General features: G+C 41.6%; 1 protein-coding gene across 22 annotated transcripts in view; it reads right to left on the reverse strand.

Moving 5' to 3' along the window:
- Nucleotides 1–19,892, reverse strand: part of ZNF248 (zinc finger protein 248) — a 99,566-nt gene that overhangs the window by 8,005 nt on the left and 71,669 nt on the right. For 7 of the 22 annotated variants that reach the window (NR_148000.2, NR_148001.2, NR_147999.2 and 4 more), the window contains one exon: nt 7,026–10,033. The exons of 2 other annotated variants lie outside the window; for them this stretch is intronic. Coding sequence is in view for 2 of the 20 variants with exons in the window: in NM_001352476.2 (NP_001339405.1) it covers nt 9,995–10,033 (39 nt within the window). In the remaining 18 variants the exon portion in view is untranslated. Of the gene's footprint in view, nt 1–7,025; nt 10,034–19,892 lie in introns of those variants that run through there. 13 more of the 22 variants (NR_147993.2, NR_147994.1, NR_147998.2 and 10 more) reach the window with 6 other exon arrangements.

The following is a 19,892-nucleotide window of genomic DNA, read 5'->3' on the forward strand; positions in this document are numbered from 1 at the left end:
AACAGACCTGCACCTAAGGGTCCTGTCTGTTAGAAGGAAAACTAACAAACAGAAAGGACATCCACACCAAAAACCCTTCTGTATGTCACCATCATCAAAGACCAAAAGTAGATAAAACCACAAAGATGGGGAAAAACAGAGTAGAAAAACTGGAAACTCTAAAAAGCAGAGTATCTCTCCTCCTCCAAAGGAACACAGCTCCTCACCAGCAACGGAAGAAAGCTGGATGGAGAATGACTTTGACGAGCTGAGAGAAGAAGGCTTCAGATGATCAAATTACTCCGAGCTACAGGAGGAAATTCAAACCAATGGCAAAGAAGTTAAAAACTGTGAAAAAAAATTAGACGAATGGATAACTAGAATAACCAACACAGAGAAGTCCTTAAAGGAGCTGATGGAGCTGAAAGCCAAGGCTCGAGAACTACGTGAAGAATGCAGAAGTCTCAGGAGCCGATGCAATCAACTGGAAGAAAGGGTATCAGTGATGGAAGATGAAATGAATGAAATGAAGCAAGAAGGGAAGTTTAGAAAAAAAAGAATAAAAAGAAACGAGCAAAGCCTCCAAGAAATATGGGACTAGGTGAAAAGACCAAATCTACATCTGATTGGTGTACCTGAAAGTGACGGGGAGAAAGGAACCAAGTTGGAACACACTCTGCAGGATATTATCCAGGAGAACTTCCCCAATCTAACAAGGCAGGCCAACGTTCAGATTCAGGAAATATAGAGAACGCCACAAAGATACTCCTCGAGAAGAGCAAGTCCAAGACACATAATTGTCAGATTCACCAAAGTTGAAATGAAGGAAAAAATGTTAAGGGCAGCCAGAGAGAAAGGTCGGGTTACCCACAAAGGGAAGCCCATCAGACTAACAGCAGATCTCTTGGCAGAAACCCTACAAGCCAGAAGGGAGTGGGGGCCAATATTCAACATTCTTAAAGAAAAGAATTTCCAACCCAGAATTTCATATCCAGCCAAACTAAGCTTCATAAGTGAAGGAGAAATAAAATACTTTACAGACAAGTAAATGCTGAGAGATTTTGTCACCACCAGGCCTGCCCTAAAATAGCTCCTGAAAGACGCACTAAACATGGAAAGGAACAACCAGTTCCAGCCACTGCAAAAACATGCCAAAATGTAAAGACCAATCAAGGCTAGGAAGAAACTGCATCAACTAAAGAGCAAAATAACCAGCTAACATCATAATGACAGAATCAAATTCATAAATAACAATGTTAACTTTAAATGTAAATGGACTAAATGCTCCAATTAAAAGACACAGACTGGCAAATTGGATAAAGAGTCAAGACCCATCAGTGTGCTGTATTCAGGAAACCCATCTCACGTGCAGAGACACACATAGGCTCAAAATAAAGGGATGGAGGAAGATCTACCAAGCAAATGGGAAACAAAAAAAGGGAGGGGTTGCAATCCTAGTCTCTGATAAAACAGACTTTAAACCAACACAGATCAAAAGAGACAAAGAAGGCCATTACGTAATAGTAAAGGGATCAATTCAACAAGAAGAACTAACTATCCTAAATACGTATGCACCCAATACAGGAGCACCCAGATTCATAAAGCAAGTCCTTAGCGACCTACAAAGAAACTTAGACTCCCACACAATAATAATGGGAGACTTTAACACCCCACTGACAACATTAGATAGATCAATGAGACAGAAAGTTAACAAGGATACCCAGGAATTGAACTCAGCTCTGCACCAAGCAGACCTAATAGACATCTACAGAAATCTCCACCCCAAATCTACAGAATATACATTTGTCTCAGCACCACACCTATTCCAAAATTGACCACATACTTGGAAGTAAAGCTCTCCTCAGCAAATGTAAAAGAACAGCAATTATAACAAACTGTCTCTCAGACCACGGTGTGATCAAACTAGAACTCAGGACTAAGAAACTCACTCAAAATCGCTCAACTACATGGAAACTGAACAACCTGCTCCTGAATGACTACTGGGTACATAACGAGATGAAGGCAGAAATAAAGATGTTCTTTCAAACCAACAAGAACAAAGACACAACATACCAGAAACTCTGGGACACATTCAAAGCAGTGTGTAGAGGGAAATTTATAGCACTAAATGCCGACAAGAGAAAGGAGGAAAGATCCAAAATTGACACCCTAACGTCACAATTAAAAGAACTAGAAAAGCAAGAGCAAACACACTCAAATGCTAGCAGAAGGCAAGAATTAACTAAAATCAGAGCAGAACTGAAGGAAATAGAGACATAAAAAACCCTTCAAAAAACTAATGAATCCAGGAGCTGGTTTTTTGAAAGGATCAACAAAATAGATAGACTGCTAGCAAGACTAATAAAGAAGAAAAGAGAGAAGAATCAAACAGACGCAATAAAAAATGATAAAGGGGATATCACCACTGATCCCATAGAAATACAAACTACCATCAGAGAATACTACAAACACCTCTATACAAATAAACTAGAAAATCTAGAAGAAATGGAAAAATTCCTCGACACATACACTCTCCCAAGACTAAACCAGGAAGAAGTTGAATCTCTGAATAGACCAATAACAGGAGCTGAAATTGTGGCAATAGTCAATAGCTTACCAACCAAAAAAAGTCCAGAACCAGAAGGAATCACAGCCGAATTCTACCAGAGGTACGAGGAGGACCTGGTACCATTCCTTCTGAAACTATTCCAATCAATAGAAAAAGAGGGAATCCTCCCTAACTCATTTTATGAGGCCAGCACCATCCTGATACCAAAGCCGAGCAGAAAAACAACCAAAAAAGAGAATTTTAGACCAATATCCTTGATGAATATTGATGCAAAAATCCTCAATAAAATACTGGCAAACCGAATCCAGCAGCACATCAAAAAGCTTATCCACCATGATCAAGTGGGCTTCATCCCTGGAATGCAAGGCTGGTTCAACATATGCACATCAATAAACGTAATCCAGCATATAAACAGAACCAATGACAAAAACCACATGATTATCTCAATAGATGCAGAAAAGGCCTTTGACAAAATTCAACAATGCTTCATGCTAAAAACTCTCAATAAATTAAGTATTGACGGGACGTATCTCAAAATAATAAGAGCTATCTATGACAAACCCACAGCCAATATCATACTGAATGGGCAAAAACTGGAAGCATTCCCTTTGAAAACTGGCACAAGACAGGGATGCCCTCTCTCACCACTCCTATTCAACATAGTGGTGGAAGTTCTGGCCAGGGCAATTAGGCAGGAGAAGAAAATAAAGGGTATTCAATTAGGAAAAGAGGAAGTCAAATTGTCCCTGTTTGCAGACGACATGATTGTATATCTAGAAAACCCCATTGTCTCAGCCCAAAATCTCCTTAAGCTGATAAGCAACTTCAGCAAGGTCTCAGGATACAAAATCAATGTACAAAAATCACAAGCATTCTTATACACCAATAACAGACAAACAGAGAGCCAAATCATGAGTGAACTCCCTTTCACCATTGCTTCAAAGAGATTAAAATACCTAGAAATCCAACTTACAAGGGATGTGAAGGACCTCTTCAAGGAGAACTACAAACCACTGCTCAATGAAATAAAAGAGGATACAAACAAATGGAGGAACATTCCATGCTCATGGGTAGGAAGAATCAATATTGTGAAAATGGCCATACTGCCCAAGGTAATTTACAGATTCAATGCCATCCCCATCAAGCTACCAATCACTTTCTTCACAGAATTGGAAAAAACTACTTTAAAGTTCATATGGAACCAAAAAAGAGCCCGCATCGCCAAGTCAATCCTAAGCCAAAAGAACAAAGCCAGAGGCATTACGCTACCTGACTTCAAACTATACTACAAGGCTACAGTAACCAAAACAGCATGGTACTGGTACCAAAACAGATATAGATCAATAGAACAGAACAGAGCCCTCAGAAATAATGCTGCATATCTACAACCATCTGATCTTTGACAAACCTGAGAAAAACAAGCAATGGGGGAAGGATTCCCTATTTAATAAATGGTGCTGGGAAAACTGGCTAGCCATATGTAGAAAGCTGAAACTGGATCCCTTCCTTACACCTTATACAAAAATTAATTCAAGATGGATTAAAGACTTACATGTTAGACCTAAAACCATAAAAACCCTAGAAGAAAACCTAGGCAATACCATTCAGGACACAGACATGGGGAAGGACTTCATGTCTAAAACACCAAAAGCAATGGCAACAAAAGACAAAATTGACAAATGGGATCTAATTAAACTAAAGAGCTTCTGCACAGCAAAAGAAACTACCATCAGAGTGAACAGGCAACCTACAAAATGGGAGAAAATTTTTCAACCTACTCATCTGACAAAGGGCTAATATCCGGAATCTACAATGAACTGAAGCAAATTTACAAGAAAAAAACAAACAACCCCATCAAAAAGTGGGTGAAGGATATGAACAAACACTTTTCAAAAGAAGACATTTATGCAGCCAAAAAACACATGAAAAAATGCTTATCATCACTGGCCATCAGAGAAATGCAAATCAAAACCACAATGAGATACCATCTCACACCAGTTAGAATGGCGATCATTAAAAAGTCAGGAAACAACAGGTGCTGGAGAAGATGTGGAGAAATAGGAACACTTTTACACTGTTGGTGGGAGTGTAAACCAGTTCAACAATTGTGGAAGACAGTGTGGTGATTCCTCAGGGATCTAGAACTAGAAATACCATTTGACCCAGCCATCCCATTACTGGGTGTATACCCAAAGGACTATAAATCATGCTGCTATAAAGACACATGCACACGTATGTTTATTGCAGCACTATTCACAATAGCAAAGACTTGGAACCAACCCAAATGTCCAACAACGATAGACTGGATTAAGAAAATGTGGCACATATACACCATGGAATTCTATGCAGCCATAAAAAATGAAGAGTTCATGTCCTTTGTAGGGACATGGATGAAACTGGAAACCATCATTCTCAGCAAACTATCGCAAGGACAAAAAAATCAAAACACCGCATGTTCTCACTCATAGGTGGGAGTTGAACAATGAGAACACATGGACACAGGAAGGAGAACATCACACTCCGCGGACTGTTGTGGGGTGGAGGGAGGGGGGAGGGATAGCATTAGGAGATATATCTAATGCTAAATGATGAGTTAATGGGCGCAGCACACCAACATGGCACATGTATACATATGTAACAAACCTGCACATTGTGCACATGTACCCTAAAACTTAAAGTATAATAATAATAAAATAAAATTAAAAAAAACAATCGATGCACACCAAGATCAATGACTAATCATGTCATTCTTTCAAAGTCAGCCAGTGGCTGACCACTCACATCTGTCACTCAGTTCATTCACAAATCACAAAGCATGTAATTGTGTAGGGCCTCCTTATCTCCCAGCAACAAACCCCTAAGACATTTTGCAAAAATGATTAAAAGGTAAAGGAGGCCGGCTGCAGTGGCTCATACCTGTAATCCCAGTACTTTGGGAGGCCAAGGCAGGCGGATCACGATGTCAGGAGTTCGAGACCAGCATGACCAACATGGTGAAACCCCATCTCTACCAAAAGTACAAAAATCAGCCAGGCGTGGTGGCATGCACCTGTAATCTCAGCTACTCAGGAGACTGAGGCAGGAGAATCACTTGAACCCGGGAGGTGGAGGTTGCAGTGAGCCAAGTTCATGCCACTGCACTCCAGCCTAGGCAACAGAGTGAGACTGTCTCAAGAAAAAAAAAAAAAAGGCTTTCTAGTCTGGTTTCTGCATTTACAGCCATTTTTAGAGCGCCATACTATCATGCAAAGTGAGAACCAACTGTATGCACTGTGTGTGTCTGTGTGTGTTACATATATAATATATATTGCCACCAGACACTGCTGAACTCCAAGTGGGCAGTGTGCTGATGGACTAGCCGAGGAAACACCTGAAGGACTATCAGACCCCTTTGGGATGTTGCTACTGTATAAGCACAGTGGAGGCTGAAAGATAAAGCAGATAAAAAGAATGTATTATGTAAATATGGGTAAATACTTGGGGCTCTGATAATGGCCAAATCAACCAGAGAGAAAAAGATTTTGCTTTAAGGCAAGTCTTCTATGAGACAGGTCACAGTGGTCTAACACCACAGTATGAGAAACCTGCACTTTAGACATGGAGAATCCCTTTAGTCACGTATTTGCTCCCTGTTGATAACCTGACAGGGAATTTATTCCTGTTCATCTTTCCAATGATTTCATTTACTGATCCTTGAAGTCAGCTCTTTCATTGAGGGAAGTAAACAGATGAAGTAACAGCGTTCCACATTTCTGACTAAACTCACAATAGCCACCTACATGAATCAAACCAAATCTTCACTTATAAATGTAAATGGAAAATGAAGTTTCACTACAAATTTGAGAACCAGTAACACAAGCTACATATGTACCAATATGAACTGAAGACGTGACTATCAAAGGAAAAAAAAATGGGGGAGGCCGAGGCCTGTGGATCACTTGAGGTCAGGAGTTTGAGACCAGCCTGGCCAACATGGCGAAACCCCGTCCCTACTAAAATACAAAAATTAGCTGGGCGTGGTGGCACACACCTGTAATCCCAGCTACTCAGGAGGCTGAGGCAGGAGAATCACTTAAACCAGGAGGTGGAGGTTGCAGTAAGCTGGGATCACACCACAGCACTCCAGCCTGGGCAACAGAACAAGACTCCGTCTAAAAAATAAATAATAATAATAATAATCTGTATCAAGAATCAGAAGAGACTGTTTTTGGAGACATTGGAGATTATTAGTATCCTCAATTATACTCAAGAGAATGTTACTTCACTTCACAGCTATTAGAATGGCTATCAAAAAACAGAAAGTAAGTGTTGGTGAAGATATAGAGAAATTGGAACATTTGTCACTGTTGGAGGGACATAAAACAATGCAGCCGCTATGGAAAAGAGTATGGTGTGTTCCTCAAAATGTTAAAAATAGAATCACTATATGTATACATTCATTTTCTGGGGATGCCATAACAAAGTACCACAGACTAGGTGGTTTAAACAACAGGAATTTATTTGTCATGCTCCTAGTGTCAGAACAGGGTTGGTTTCTTCTGAGGCCCCTCTCCTTGGCTTACAGGTGGCCATCCTCTTACTGTCTCTTCACAAGGTCATCCTCTCTACACACATCCCCCTGGTTGCATGTCCTCATCTCTCTTTCTTATGAAGACACCAGTTAGACTGGATCACAGCCCATGCTAATGGTCTCATTTTAACCTAATTATCTCTGTAAAGGCCCTATCTCCAATACAGTCACATTCTGAGGCATTGAGGGGGTTAGGGCTTCAGAAAAGGAATTATGCCTCAAGACTGCAGCATTAACGTCTGCCTAGCTCCCAGCCTGCTGGCCTGCCCTACAAATTTTACATTCGACCAGCCCCTATAATCACATAAACCAATTTCTGAAAATGAATACACACACACACACACACACACAGGCACATGCACCCATATCCTATCAGTTGTTTCTCTGGAGAACAGTGATTGACACAGGGCTTAGGGCATGTTATTTTTCTTCATCTTAAAGTTTTTCCTCCATTCCATTTCCCTCCTTCTCTCCTGACAGCCACCAGAAGAAATGGGGAGTAGTCTACTCTAGATCTGTCAACAGGAGCATGGCCCAGATGGCACTTTGATTTCAGACTGATCCAGAACTGGGAGAGAATACATTTCTGTTAACAGAACACAAAGACTGTGGTTATTTGTTACCGCAGTCACAGGAAATTAATACACCAATATTTTGCAAAAATCCTACAGAAAATTAACAGTTTGCTTTGCTCAGCGAGAGCACATCTAACCAGTGAGAGCTATCACTTTAAAAGCGCTAAATTCACCTTTTGTGTTTCAGCTCTCGAGGGGTTATCTTATCCTTTGATATGGTTAAAAATCTAGAGAGTATGTAATCTGTCAAGAAAAATAGGGTAAGAGTTATAAAACACCTGGGGATATGCTAGGCTATAAAACTCCAGGAAGACAAGAACATGAAGCAGACGGAAGAAATCTACCACCTGGATCAATTGAGCTGTCCTTTGACTTTCTGCCATCTGTGCCACTAAAGAACAAACAGCGTGGCAATCACAGGCAGCATGCATTTCAGGCTTGTTGACTGAGGGTGTCAACTACATCACTTTCATGAAGAGAGTTAAAGACATTTTCTTAGACTTCAGGCCAGGAAGTCTTTGTGTTCCATGAAGAATTACTTTTCTTTATTCTTTTTTTTTTGAGACAGAGTCTCATTCTGTCATGCAGACTCTGGAGTGCAGTGGCACAATCTCAGCTCACTGCAACCTCTGCCTCCAGGGTTCAAGTGATTCTCCTACCTCAGCCTCCCAAGTAGCTGGCCACGCCACCACACCTGACTAATTTTTGTATTTTTAGCAGAGACTGGGTCTCACCATGTGGCCAAGCTGGTCTCAAACTCTTGATCTCAAATGATCCATCCACCTCAGCCTCCCAAAGTGCTGGGATTTCAGGCATGAGCCACCACACCTGGCCTCTTTTGTTTATTCTTACGGTCAAAACAAAGCACTGTCCTTTGGCACAGAGTATCAGAGATAAGTCTGCACGTTACTAATAATTACAGTTATACAACACAATGTATAATATATACACACTAAAACTATTATAATTATCTTGATATCTTTATAATTAATATGTTGACTTTTCCCTATTTTAGATCTGTTAACTATAAATTCCTTGATAATTTTTATCATGTTAATCTTTTATCATTTTATGCAATGGAAACATGAGAAATGAATAAACAACTCACCTGGCATTTGCTTTTTTTCTGTTGCTCTTGGGAAAGTGCAGGGGAAGCTGAATGTACAGTTACGGGAGAAGAACACAGGGGTGGTCATGCGAGATCTGGCCTGCTACGGACCTTTGAGATTCAGCTTCCTAAAAACTGCTGCCCACCAACTGGTTACACACTCGTCTATGGGAAAAAGTTTCTTTGGCCCTTGAGGAGACAGCAAGAGCCATGATGAGTGAGAATTCACACATGTAAATCTGACAAGATGTCACAGAAGTTGACTATGCAACTTTTCACTGGGTTGCACTTCCTAATGGTCAATTTCATTTTTCTTTCAGAACTAATCCGGGACTAATTCAACAAATAATATTATATCAGAAGACAAATTGTCACCTGCCATGTTCACTCCTGTAGGTGAAATACTCAGGATATTTGTTTACTTACATTCCTACTGAGTTGCTAACCCTTAAGGAAATCATGCTGCAGCAAATGGTGGGAGTGCTTTGGGGAAAGATCTGTTTTAAGATTGTTTGCTTCTAACTCAGTTGCAACAGAACCTGGCAGGTGACTTACCTGTTATAAGATGGATGGGTGTTTTCTATTCCTGCTCTGCCATTTACAAACTGGATGAGTCTGGACAGGTTACTTATACATCCAAGAGTCAAGGTTTCTCAGCTTTGCAATGATGCAGACACAGACACCCCTACTCTCTGCCTCTATAGGATTAGGGTAGGTAAGGCGGCACCACATCTCTAGAGGGCCCATATCACAATGGACATGGCGTGAGAGCAGCTCAGAATCTGGACAAAGACCATGGAGACTGAATGTGGGGCATGTTGGTTAAAGACTGGAGATAGAACTCCTCCAGCTATGCCCAGTGATCTCTCCCTGCAGACCATGCCCACACCAACCCTCCAAGATTAATATTTCCACAGCATACCCCTTTCCACCACTCAGTCCAGTCACATATCTTTTCTGAGACGTGGTCCAAACCTTTCATCATAGTGGGGAGACCTTCTGGATGTGATAACATTTACAGAGCATCACTCATTCTGAGCAGGAGGAAGAATTACTTCAGGCTGTGCAAACTGTCAGGCTCTGCCCTTTCTGGCAGTTTCCTGACTTTGCTCTGAAGTTGGGCTGACAACGTTCAGGTTAGAGAAGCAATCTTCAAGGTGGGATTCCTGTTCCTAGGGCGCCTTCTTCTTACTTCACAAGAACTGCTTTCTTCCGAGGAGCTGAAACCTGAGCTTAAAGGACAAAATCATTTTACTCAGAAACTTCACTCAGGGTTCCAAATCTCAAAGAACTTCCTTGTCTAAACTCTGAAGGCACTGACTATGCTGAAGGTTGGATGGTGCAGGAGTCCAAGCAACACAGTCATGCAGCCTGACCCAAGGACTTCAAGATGCTAAGAAACCCCAGAATACATGACTACAAGGTGACACTCAGCCGCCCCCCACCCACTTCAGTATGATTTCAGGAATACAAGATGGTTTTAGGTAGGGTGGTCTACCCTGGCCATGTGACCTTCACCATTTCACTTGAACCCTCAGACCGTCAGTTTTCTTGTTTGTCAAGATGGAAGACAGTCACATAAAGATTGTTGTAAGGACTAAATAAAAGAGCTAATGAGAAGAAAAAAGTATTTTCAAAATACCTTATCAGCTGAGGTTAACTACTAAGCTCTGTGCCAAATTTTTTACATATGCCAAAAATGTGAAACTCAGAACCACTCCGCATGGCACATATTATTGATGGGATGTGCTATACAAAATGGGCTTACTCTGATTGAGAGCTCTAAACTGGAGGTAGGAAGTCATTCTAAGGGCTGCCTGCACATTCTACAAACCTGCAGGGAAAAACAAAACAAAACAAAAAAAAGGAACTTGCCTTGAACCTTTGAAGTGGGCCAAACTGCAACGACCACAAAATTATGTAAAACAGCTGAACTTCACCAGCGTTGCAACTCCTGAACAGTAACAACCAATGAACTATGGACTCAGGTACTAAGCCACCCGCTTCCACCAACGGATAATTCTTTCAGGACTTGCATAAACACCCGTAGCTTCCTTTCTGATTTCCTCCCTGTTCCCCTCCCTCTTTTTGGAATACAATTTGGCTTCCAGCCCAATGCGTCTCCAGAATCGCAATTCCTAAAACCTCAATAAACGCCATGGTTTACTGCATTGCAGCCTGGTCTTCGACTCTTTTTTTTTTTTTTTTCAATTAAAGTTTTAGGGTACATGTGCACATTGTGCAGGTTAGTTACATATGTATACATGTGCCATGCTGGTGCGCTGCACCCACCAACTCGTCATCTAGCATTAGGTATATCTCCCAATGCTATCCCTCCCCCCTCCCCCCACCCCACAACAGTCCCCAGAGTGTGATATTCCCCTTCTTGTGTCCATGTGATTTCATTGTTCAATTCCCACTTATGAGTGAGAATATGCGGTGTTTGGTTTTTTGTTCTTGCGATAATTTACTGAGAATGATGACTTCCAATTTCATCCATTTCCCTACAAAGGACATGAACTCATCCTTTTTTATGGCTGCATAGTATTCCACGGTGTATATGTGCCACATTTTCTTAATCCAGTCTATCATTGTTGGACATTTGGGTTGGTTCCAAGTCTTTGCTATTGTGAATAGTGCTGCAATAAACATACGTGTGCATGTGTCTTTATAGCAGCATGATTTATAGTCCTTTGGGTATATACCCAGTAATGGGATGGCTGGGTCAAATGGTACTTCCAGTTCTAGATCCCTGAGGAATCGCCACACTGACTTCCACAATGGTTGAACTAGTTTACAGTCCCACCAACAGTGTAAAAGTGTTCCTATTTCTCCACATCTTCTCCAGCACCTGTTGTTTCCTGACTTTTTAATGATCGCCATTCTAACTGGTGTGAGATGGTATCTCATTGTGGTTTTGATTTGCATTTCTCTGATGGCCAGTGATGATGAGCATTTTTTCATGTGTTTTTTGGCTGCATAAATGTCTTCTTTTGAGAAATGTCTGTTCATGTCCTTTGCCCACTTTTTGATAGGGTTGTTTGTTTTTTTCTTGTAAATTTGTTTGAGTTCATTGTAGATTCTGGATATTAGCCCTTTGTCAGATGAGTAGGTTGCGAAAATTTTCTCCCATTTTGTAGGTTGCCTGTTCACTCTGATGGTAGTTTCTTTTGCTGTGCAGAAGCTCTTTAGTTTAATTAGATCCCATTTGTCAATTTTGTCTTTTGTTGCCATTGCTTTTGGTGTCTTAGACATGAAGTCATTGCTATGTCCTGAATGGTAAAGCCTAGGTTTTCTTCTAGGGTTTTTATGGTTTCAGGTCTAACGTTTAAGTCTTTAATCCATATTGAATTGAAACCCTTCAAAAAAATTAATGAATCCAGGAGCTGGTTTTTTGAAAGGATCAACAAAATAGACTGCTAGCAAGACTAATAAAGAAAAAAAGAGAGAAGAATCAAATAGAAGCAATAAAAAATGATAAAGGGGATATCACCACTGATCCCACAGAAATACAAACTACCATCAGAGAATACTACAAACACCTCTACGCAAATAAACTAGAAAATCTAGAAGAAATGGATACATTCCTCAACACATACACTCTCCCAAGACTAAACCAGGAAGAAGTTGAATCTCTGAATAGACCAATAACAGGATCTGAAATTGTGGCAATAATCAATAGCTTACCAAGCAAAAAGAGTCCAGGACCAGATGGATTCACAGCCAAATTCTACCAGAGGTACAAGGAGGAACTGGTACCATTCCTTCTGAAACTATTCCAATCAATAGAAAAAGAGGGAATCCTCCCTAACTCATTTTATGAGGCCAGCATCATTCTGATACCAAAGCCAGGCAGAGACACAACAAAAAAAGAGAATTTTAGACCAACATCCTTGATGAACATTGATGCTAAAATCCTCAATAAAATACTGGCAAACCGAATCCAGCAACACATCAAAAAGCTTATCCACCATGATCAAGTGGGCATCATCCCTGGGATGCAAGGCTGGTTCAATATACACAAATCAATAAATGTAATCCAGCATATAAACAGAGCCAAAGACAAAAACCACATGATTATCTCAATAGATGCAGAAAAGGCCTTTGACAAAATTCAACAACCCTTCATGCTAAAAACACTCAATAAATTAGGTATTGATGGGACGTATTTCAAAATAATAAGAGCTATCTATGACAAACCCACAGCCAATATCATACTGAATGGGCAAAAACTGGAAGCATTCCCTTTGAAAACTGGCACAAGACAGGGATGCCCTCTCTCACCACTCCTATTCAACATAGTGGTGGAAGTTCTGGCCAGGGCAATTAGGCAGGAGAAGAAAATAAAGGGTATTCAATTAAGAAAAGAGGAAGTCAAATTGTCCCTGTTTGCAGACGACATGATTGTATATCTAGAAAACCCCATTGTCTCAGCCCAAAATCTCCTTAAGCTGATAAGCAACTTCAGCAAAGTCTCAGGATACAAAATCAATGTACAAAAATCACAAGCATTTTTATACACCAACAACAGACAAACAGAGAGCCAAATCATGAGTGAACTCCCATTCACAATTGCTTCAAAGAGAATAAAATACCTAGGAATCCACCTTACAAGGGATGTGAAGGACCTCTTCAAGGAGAACTACAAACCACTGCTCAAGGAAATAAAAGAGGATACAAACAAATGGAAGAACATTCCATGCTCATGGGTAGGAAGAATCAATATTGTGAAAATGGCCATACTGCCCAAGGTAATTTACAGATTCAATGCCATCCCCATCAAGCTAACAATGACTTTCTTCACAGAATTGGAAAAATCTACTTTAAAGTTCATATGGAACCAAAAAGGAGCCCGCATCGCCAAGTCAATCCTAAGCCAAAAGAACAAAGCTGGAGGCATCACACTACCTGACTTCAAACTATACTACAAGGCTACAGTAACCAAAACAGCATGGTACTGGTACTAAAACAGAGATATAAATCAATGGAACAGAACAGAGCCCTCAGAAATAACGCCACATATCTACAACTATCTGATCTTTGACAAACCTGAGAAAAAGAAGCAATGGGGAAAGGATTCCCTGTTTAATAAATGGTGCTTGGAAAACTGGCTAGCCATATGTAGAAAGCTGAAACTGGATCCCTTCCTTACACCTTATACAAAAATCAATTCAAGATGGATTAAAGACTTAAACGACTCTTCTTGATAGACATATTAACAGCATCCCTCTACAGGTGAGGACTCCTCGTCCCACGCAGGTCCATCCTCTGGCGTAGGGACTAATTCACACCCAGCTCAGCCTGGAAGCAAAGCTCGCGCCCTTCCAGGGCCAAGGCGCGCACCCCGCGCGGGGCCTGGACGCGCGCGCACGTGCCCAAACTTGCGATCCCCGGCCACCCTCCGACTCACAGGGACACCCCGCCCCCGCTCCCACTGCCCCCGAGCCGCGCGGGACCCTGGTCCTAGCCCAAACCTCCTCAGCTCGCCTGCTTGTCACACTCGGGCTGAATCCGCTCCCGGAGTGGTGTATAGAGCTGAAGGTTCCGGGGCGTCTCTGCAAGGAACGGAAGCACAGGGAAGCACTGCAGGAGATTGCAAAAGGCGCAGAGCACAGTTGTTGGGGACCGTGCGGGACACGTTTTTGTTCGGGACCATTCGGGACACGTGAACTGCGGGGATATGATGGTTAATTCGACCCTTGTAATGTACTGGGTTTAATAGTGCGCTTTCAAAATTCTTGTCTACCCAGAACCCTAGAATGTGATTTTATTTCAAAAAGGGTCCTGGAATATAGGACTACCATGTCCTGTGTGATGGTATATCCAGATGTCTATGGTCTTTACCTGGGTGGCTCAGGTCCCATCAGCTGGACCCAACATCTGTTGATGCCAACGATATTCATTGTGAAGGGTCCTTTTCCATGGGAGCCCACGTGAGTGACAGAGGTAAGCATACTGGACTACCTGCTGTTATAATGTACCACCTGACAGGGTTTTGGACTTGTTCCTGCGTCCAGGTCTTGGACCACTTGCCATCTTGTTGGCTGTTACCCATAAGTCAGTGAAAATGTAGCAAGATGCATTTTAAGGTGTGCCATCCAGGACAAGCCCCATGACCCACAACTCTGCCCATTGGTTGGAGTTTTCTTTTTCATGTAAAATTTGTAACAGTTTTTCCTGTAGTCGTACAGCCATAATGCCTCAGTACACCCCTTAGCCGTTAATTCAGTTAATCTGTTAACCCAGTCTGGGCCTCCTCGGGGACTTCAGTGTACCAGCACCCAACAGACTCCAACCTCTGGGCTACCCACATTTGGGAAAGTAACTGGCTACCTTTTTATGTATGAGAAAGGTGTGATTGAGGCTTAGGTGACTATAGTTTGTACATTGACCAGGCACTGACATTTGTAGCTCTAAAGGCTTATTAGGACTAATTGGCCTGAGTGGGAGAGCAGTCTGTACAGCTTGTTGAACAGTGAAGCACTCCTGTCTCTACCAACTCTTTAATAAGGTTATTAATCTTCTCCTGCATTTATTGACTGACATTACATGGCTGGGCTAGGGAAGACTGCCTGTGCACTTGTCCCAGTATCCATTGTAATTGTGTAATTTCTACTCTGGGAACATCCCTTACAATTCGGAGAAGTATTACACATAATGAAAACATCAATTTTTATAATAGATTTAGCATTATCAGTTACAGACACTTGAGTATATGGATGTCCATTAAATATTACCTGGTTCAGTTTCAAAGGCTGGAACAGCAAAACTCACCTGAAGAATTCAATGAAGTCAATCTACCAAGAGTATGTGCAGCCAACCACCACTCCACCAACTGTGGTCTTGCCTCTAGTACTATGTTGCACACCATTGTATTTTGGAAACAGATTGTTTTTTTGAGTTTCACAGGTTTGTAGACAGAGAGGAATTTTACCCCAGGATGGACCATGACTGATTAAGATGATTTACAAGATTGGATTTAGGAGTTTTTGAATTTATTATATTTAGATAAGATGCTGGGGTTAGAGTTAATGCTGTAATGGGTTAAGATTTGGGGGCATATTGGGAAAAGGTGAATATATTTTGCACATAGGAAGGATATGAATTTTGGTGGGGGTTGGGGGGCAGAGGGCAGGTTGTTGTGGGTCGAATTGTGTCCTCCCAGAAAGACATGTTCAAGTCCTAACACACGGTACCTGTGAATGTAACTTTATTTGGAAATAGGGTATTTTCAGATGTAATCAAGTTAAAATGAGGTCACAGTGGATTAAGTAGGCCCTTTTCTAATGACTGGTGTCCTTATAAGGTGATGGAAATGTAGACATAGAGATACATTGGGAGGACACCATTTGATATGGAGGCAGAGATTGGAGTGATGTGTCTACAAGTCAAGGAATTGCCAGCAACAAGCTAAGCATTGCCAGCAACAACCAGAAGCTAGGAAGAGGCAAGAGAGGATTCTCCCCAGCAGGCTTCAGAAAGAACATGGGCCTGCCACATTCTGGAGGCTTACACTCTAGCCTCCAGAACTGTGACAGAATAAATTTCTATTGTTTAAGCCACCCAGTTTTAGGTACTTTGTGATGGCAGCCCCAGGAAACTAATACAAATGGCAAAGGGACTCCAGGGCATACACCTTGGGGCACCAAACCTGGAAGGCCCTAGCAAATAGACCATACAGATGATCTACCCTCTTCTTGAGGATACTACCAGCATTGACTGTGCTAGAAACCTTTTTTGGGTATGGCACAATTCCTATCTATGTGGCAGATGCAGGCCATACCACTCAAGAACTCTTGAGTGGACCATGTCACATGCTTAAATTTCCAAACATATCTAGTCAAAGAATGGTGCCAAGTTTACAGCCAAGAATACCTAGCAATAGACAATTCTCTGGATATTCACTGGTCATATCATGCCCCATCTTATTCCCAGGAAGCAGTAACCATTAAGAGATAAACTGTACTGTTAAAGGAGAGCATAAAAAGCTGAACCCCTCTCATACCATATACACAAATTACCTCAAAATGGATATATAATCTAAATATAGGAGATAAAACCATAATACTTTAAGAAGAAAATATAGGGGTGAATCTTCATGATTTTAGATATGGCAGTGTGGTCTTATATAGGGCACCAAAAGTGCAACCAGCCAAAGCAAAAAATAAATAAGATTTTGTCAAAGTTAAAAACTTTTGTGCATCAAATGATGTTATCAAGAAAGTGGAAAGAGAAGTGACAATTCACTTCCTGAAACATTTGGCTTACACAATAAAAAACAGGTCAAGAATGGATGGGTTGACATTAGGTGGTGTAATGGAAAAATACTAACAGTCTCTCACCCAGTTTTCCTCCTTGAACCAGTTCTGAGATCCAGAGTTTATGGATGGAAGGGAAGGAAGAATCTTTTTGAGGGCCTCCCAAAGCCATAGCAATTATATACAATAGCTAGTCCCTTAATATTCCTCCCAAAGAGACTTTTTTCTTTTAAGACAGAGTTTTCCTCTTGTTGCCCAGGCTGGAGTGCAATGGCATGACCTCGGCTCACCGCAATCTCTGCCTCCCGGTTCAAGCAATTCTCCCGCCTCAGCCTCCCAAGTAGCTGGGATTACAGGCATGTGCCACCACGCCCAGCTAATTTTGTAGTTTTAGTAGAGATGGGGTTTCTCCATGTTGGTCAGGCTGGTCTTGAACTCCCTACCTCAGGTGATCTGCCTGCCTCGGCCTCCCAAAGTGCTGGGATTATAGGCGTGAGCCACTGTGCCCAGCCTCCCAAAGAGGTGTCTATGCATTTACCAGAGCAACAGTACACTGGCAAAAAAGGAATATTAGAACTTTGGAATGTTTAGAGTATAATCTGACTGAAACCAAGGAACCCAAAATGCCACCATTATGCATGTTCTGAATGTACAAAGGCCAGATGTTAGAGTCCTCATCCAAGTCCATCTTAAAGTCCAGAGTATACAGATATGTCCTGCGGTCTTTTACTCAGCCCTTGAGTGAATAATTGGAATGGATAAACTTATTAGGCGCCAGAGCCTTCACGCTGTCTCCTGGACTTGTGGAGTAAGAGCCACCAATTGTAGTTAAGGCCACTGATGCCAATTAAGATTTCCGTCTCCCTGGCTAAATTGGTAAATCAGAAGCAATATCAATCTCAGAATGGTAACAATCATAGCTATTGTGCTAATTGTGCTTTTACTAGAAAAAATAATAATCTCTGGAGCTTAATATGCAGCTATTAAACTGCAAAAGGATCCTTTTCAACTTCCCTGAAGAAGACTCAAATGCAGTTCACTTTGTTCTAGACTAGATAGCAGCATATATTGTCTCGTCCTAGTCTTGCTAATTTTCCTGCCCTCTGTCACAGTGTAGTACACAGTGAGTTCCACAAAACATCATCCTGGCCACTACATGGATGGCACATCAATGGAACCCGGTGAGGAGAAAGAGGCAAGTACTCTGCTTACCTTGGTAAGATAAGTGTTTGGTAGAGGTTGAGAGAAAAACAAAAAACAAAACAAACAAACAAAAACACCTATGTCAGCATTTTGGTGTTTGGTACAAGGTTGGACACTTACCCCACCGTTAAGATCAAGTTATTATACAATTTGCGTCTCCTGCCGCCAAAAAAAAGGAAAGGTATTTGGAAGGTCTGTTTATACATGGGGAAAACACCTACTACATTTGGGAATATTGTTTTGTCCCACTTACTGGGTGCCTTGGAGGAAGGCCAGTTTTGAGTGGGGCCCACAGCAGGAAAGGGTTTCATAGCAGGTTCCATCTGTTGTCCTTCATCCAATGGCACTGAAGTTCTCAGTGGTATAACATAACACTGTGTGGGGTTCTGACAAGCCAAAATAGACCAGTAACAGCACAGTCCTCTAGGATTCTGGAGCAAAACTATGCCATCTGCAGCAAAGAACCTCTCATTGTTTCAAAAGCAGCTCCTGTGTACTACTTGATCCTAGTACAAACTGAGCAGCTGACTTAGTGTAATCTATTGACTATGTGACTACAGCTGCCCATGATGTGGGGTTACTGTCAGACTCACACCAAATCATAAAACAGGCAGGGAAACAACAGTTTATTGTGCAACAAAAATGGTGCATTGGGAATTGGGCCTGAACAGGTCTCAGCAACTTAGTAATTTATATAAATAGGTGACCCATGGCACTTACCTCTGTCATATGACTACCTCTACTTCAATTCATGTACAGAGTTCAATAGAGATCTTTCTCTCTCAGCCAAGAATGAACACTCCATGGAGTATTCCCTGTGACAGAGTATCAGAGGAAACTCCTGGGCCTGGTTCTCTCACATTGCTGTCTTCCATGGCCACTAAAATTCCACTCAGGAATGTCCCTGAAAGATGGTGATGATGGGGAAATCCTCCCAATGAACAGGACTTCAAATCACACACTTGTTTATTATTATTTGTGGCAAGAAAAGTGAGCTAAGGTAATACCCAGATTCTTGAAGATTGGTAAATAGATTGATTGGTTGGAACAGGATTGGAAGACTGGAGCCAAGGAGGTCTTGTAAAGAAGAAGGGGGTTGGATATCTGGTAGTGCACACAAATTGTGCAGATCTTTGAGTCTTTTGTTAATGTCCATCAAAGAGCAGCTACCACAGAAGCAGCAGTGGACAGAGTCATTTATCCAGTGGCTGTCAGCCTAGGTCCCATGAGTGTTCACACAAGCCCAAGAATGGAGTAGCCATGACAGCAGGAAATGGGCACTATACCTGGGCCTGACAACATGGGTTTTATCTCACTAAGGCTGATCAAGCTCCTGCTAAATATCTGACTTTTCACAAGTAGAGATCAATGCAGAGCACTCAATATATTACCATTTTTTGCAGAGATCAATCAGATTCTTTTGGCAGGATGATTTCACGGGAATCCTTCTACTCTGGAAAAACAGTGAATTGTTCTATTTGGAATTCAAATATATTCTGATTATAGGTTGTTTTTATGCCCACAGTGCCTCTGTGTTTCATGTCATTCCCAAATTATGTGGGAGAGGGTTAACATCCAGGCTGACAGCAGGGAAGTAATGTGGAATAACTTGTAGAGTAGGCAACCAACA

This window comes from Homo sapiens, chromosome 10 (assembly GCF_000001405.40).
Source record: "Homo sapiens chromosome 10, GRCh38.p14 Primary Assembly".
Taxonomy (NCBI): Eukaryota; Metazoa; Chordata; class Mammalia; order Primates; family Hominidae; genus Homo; species Homo sapiens.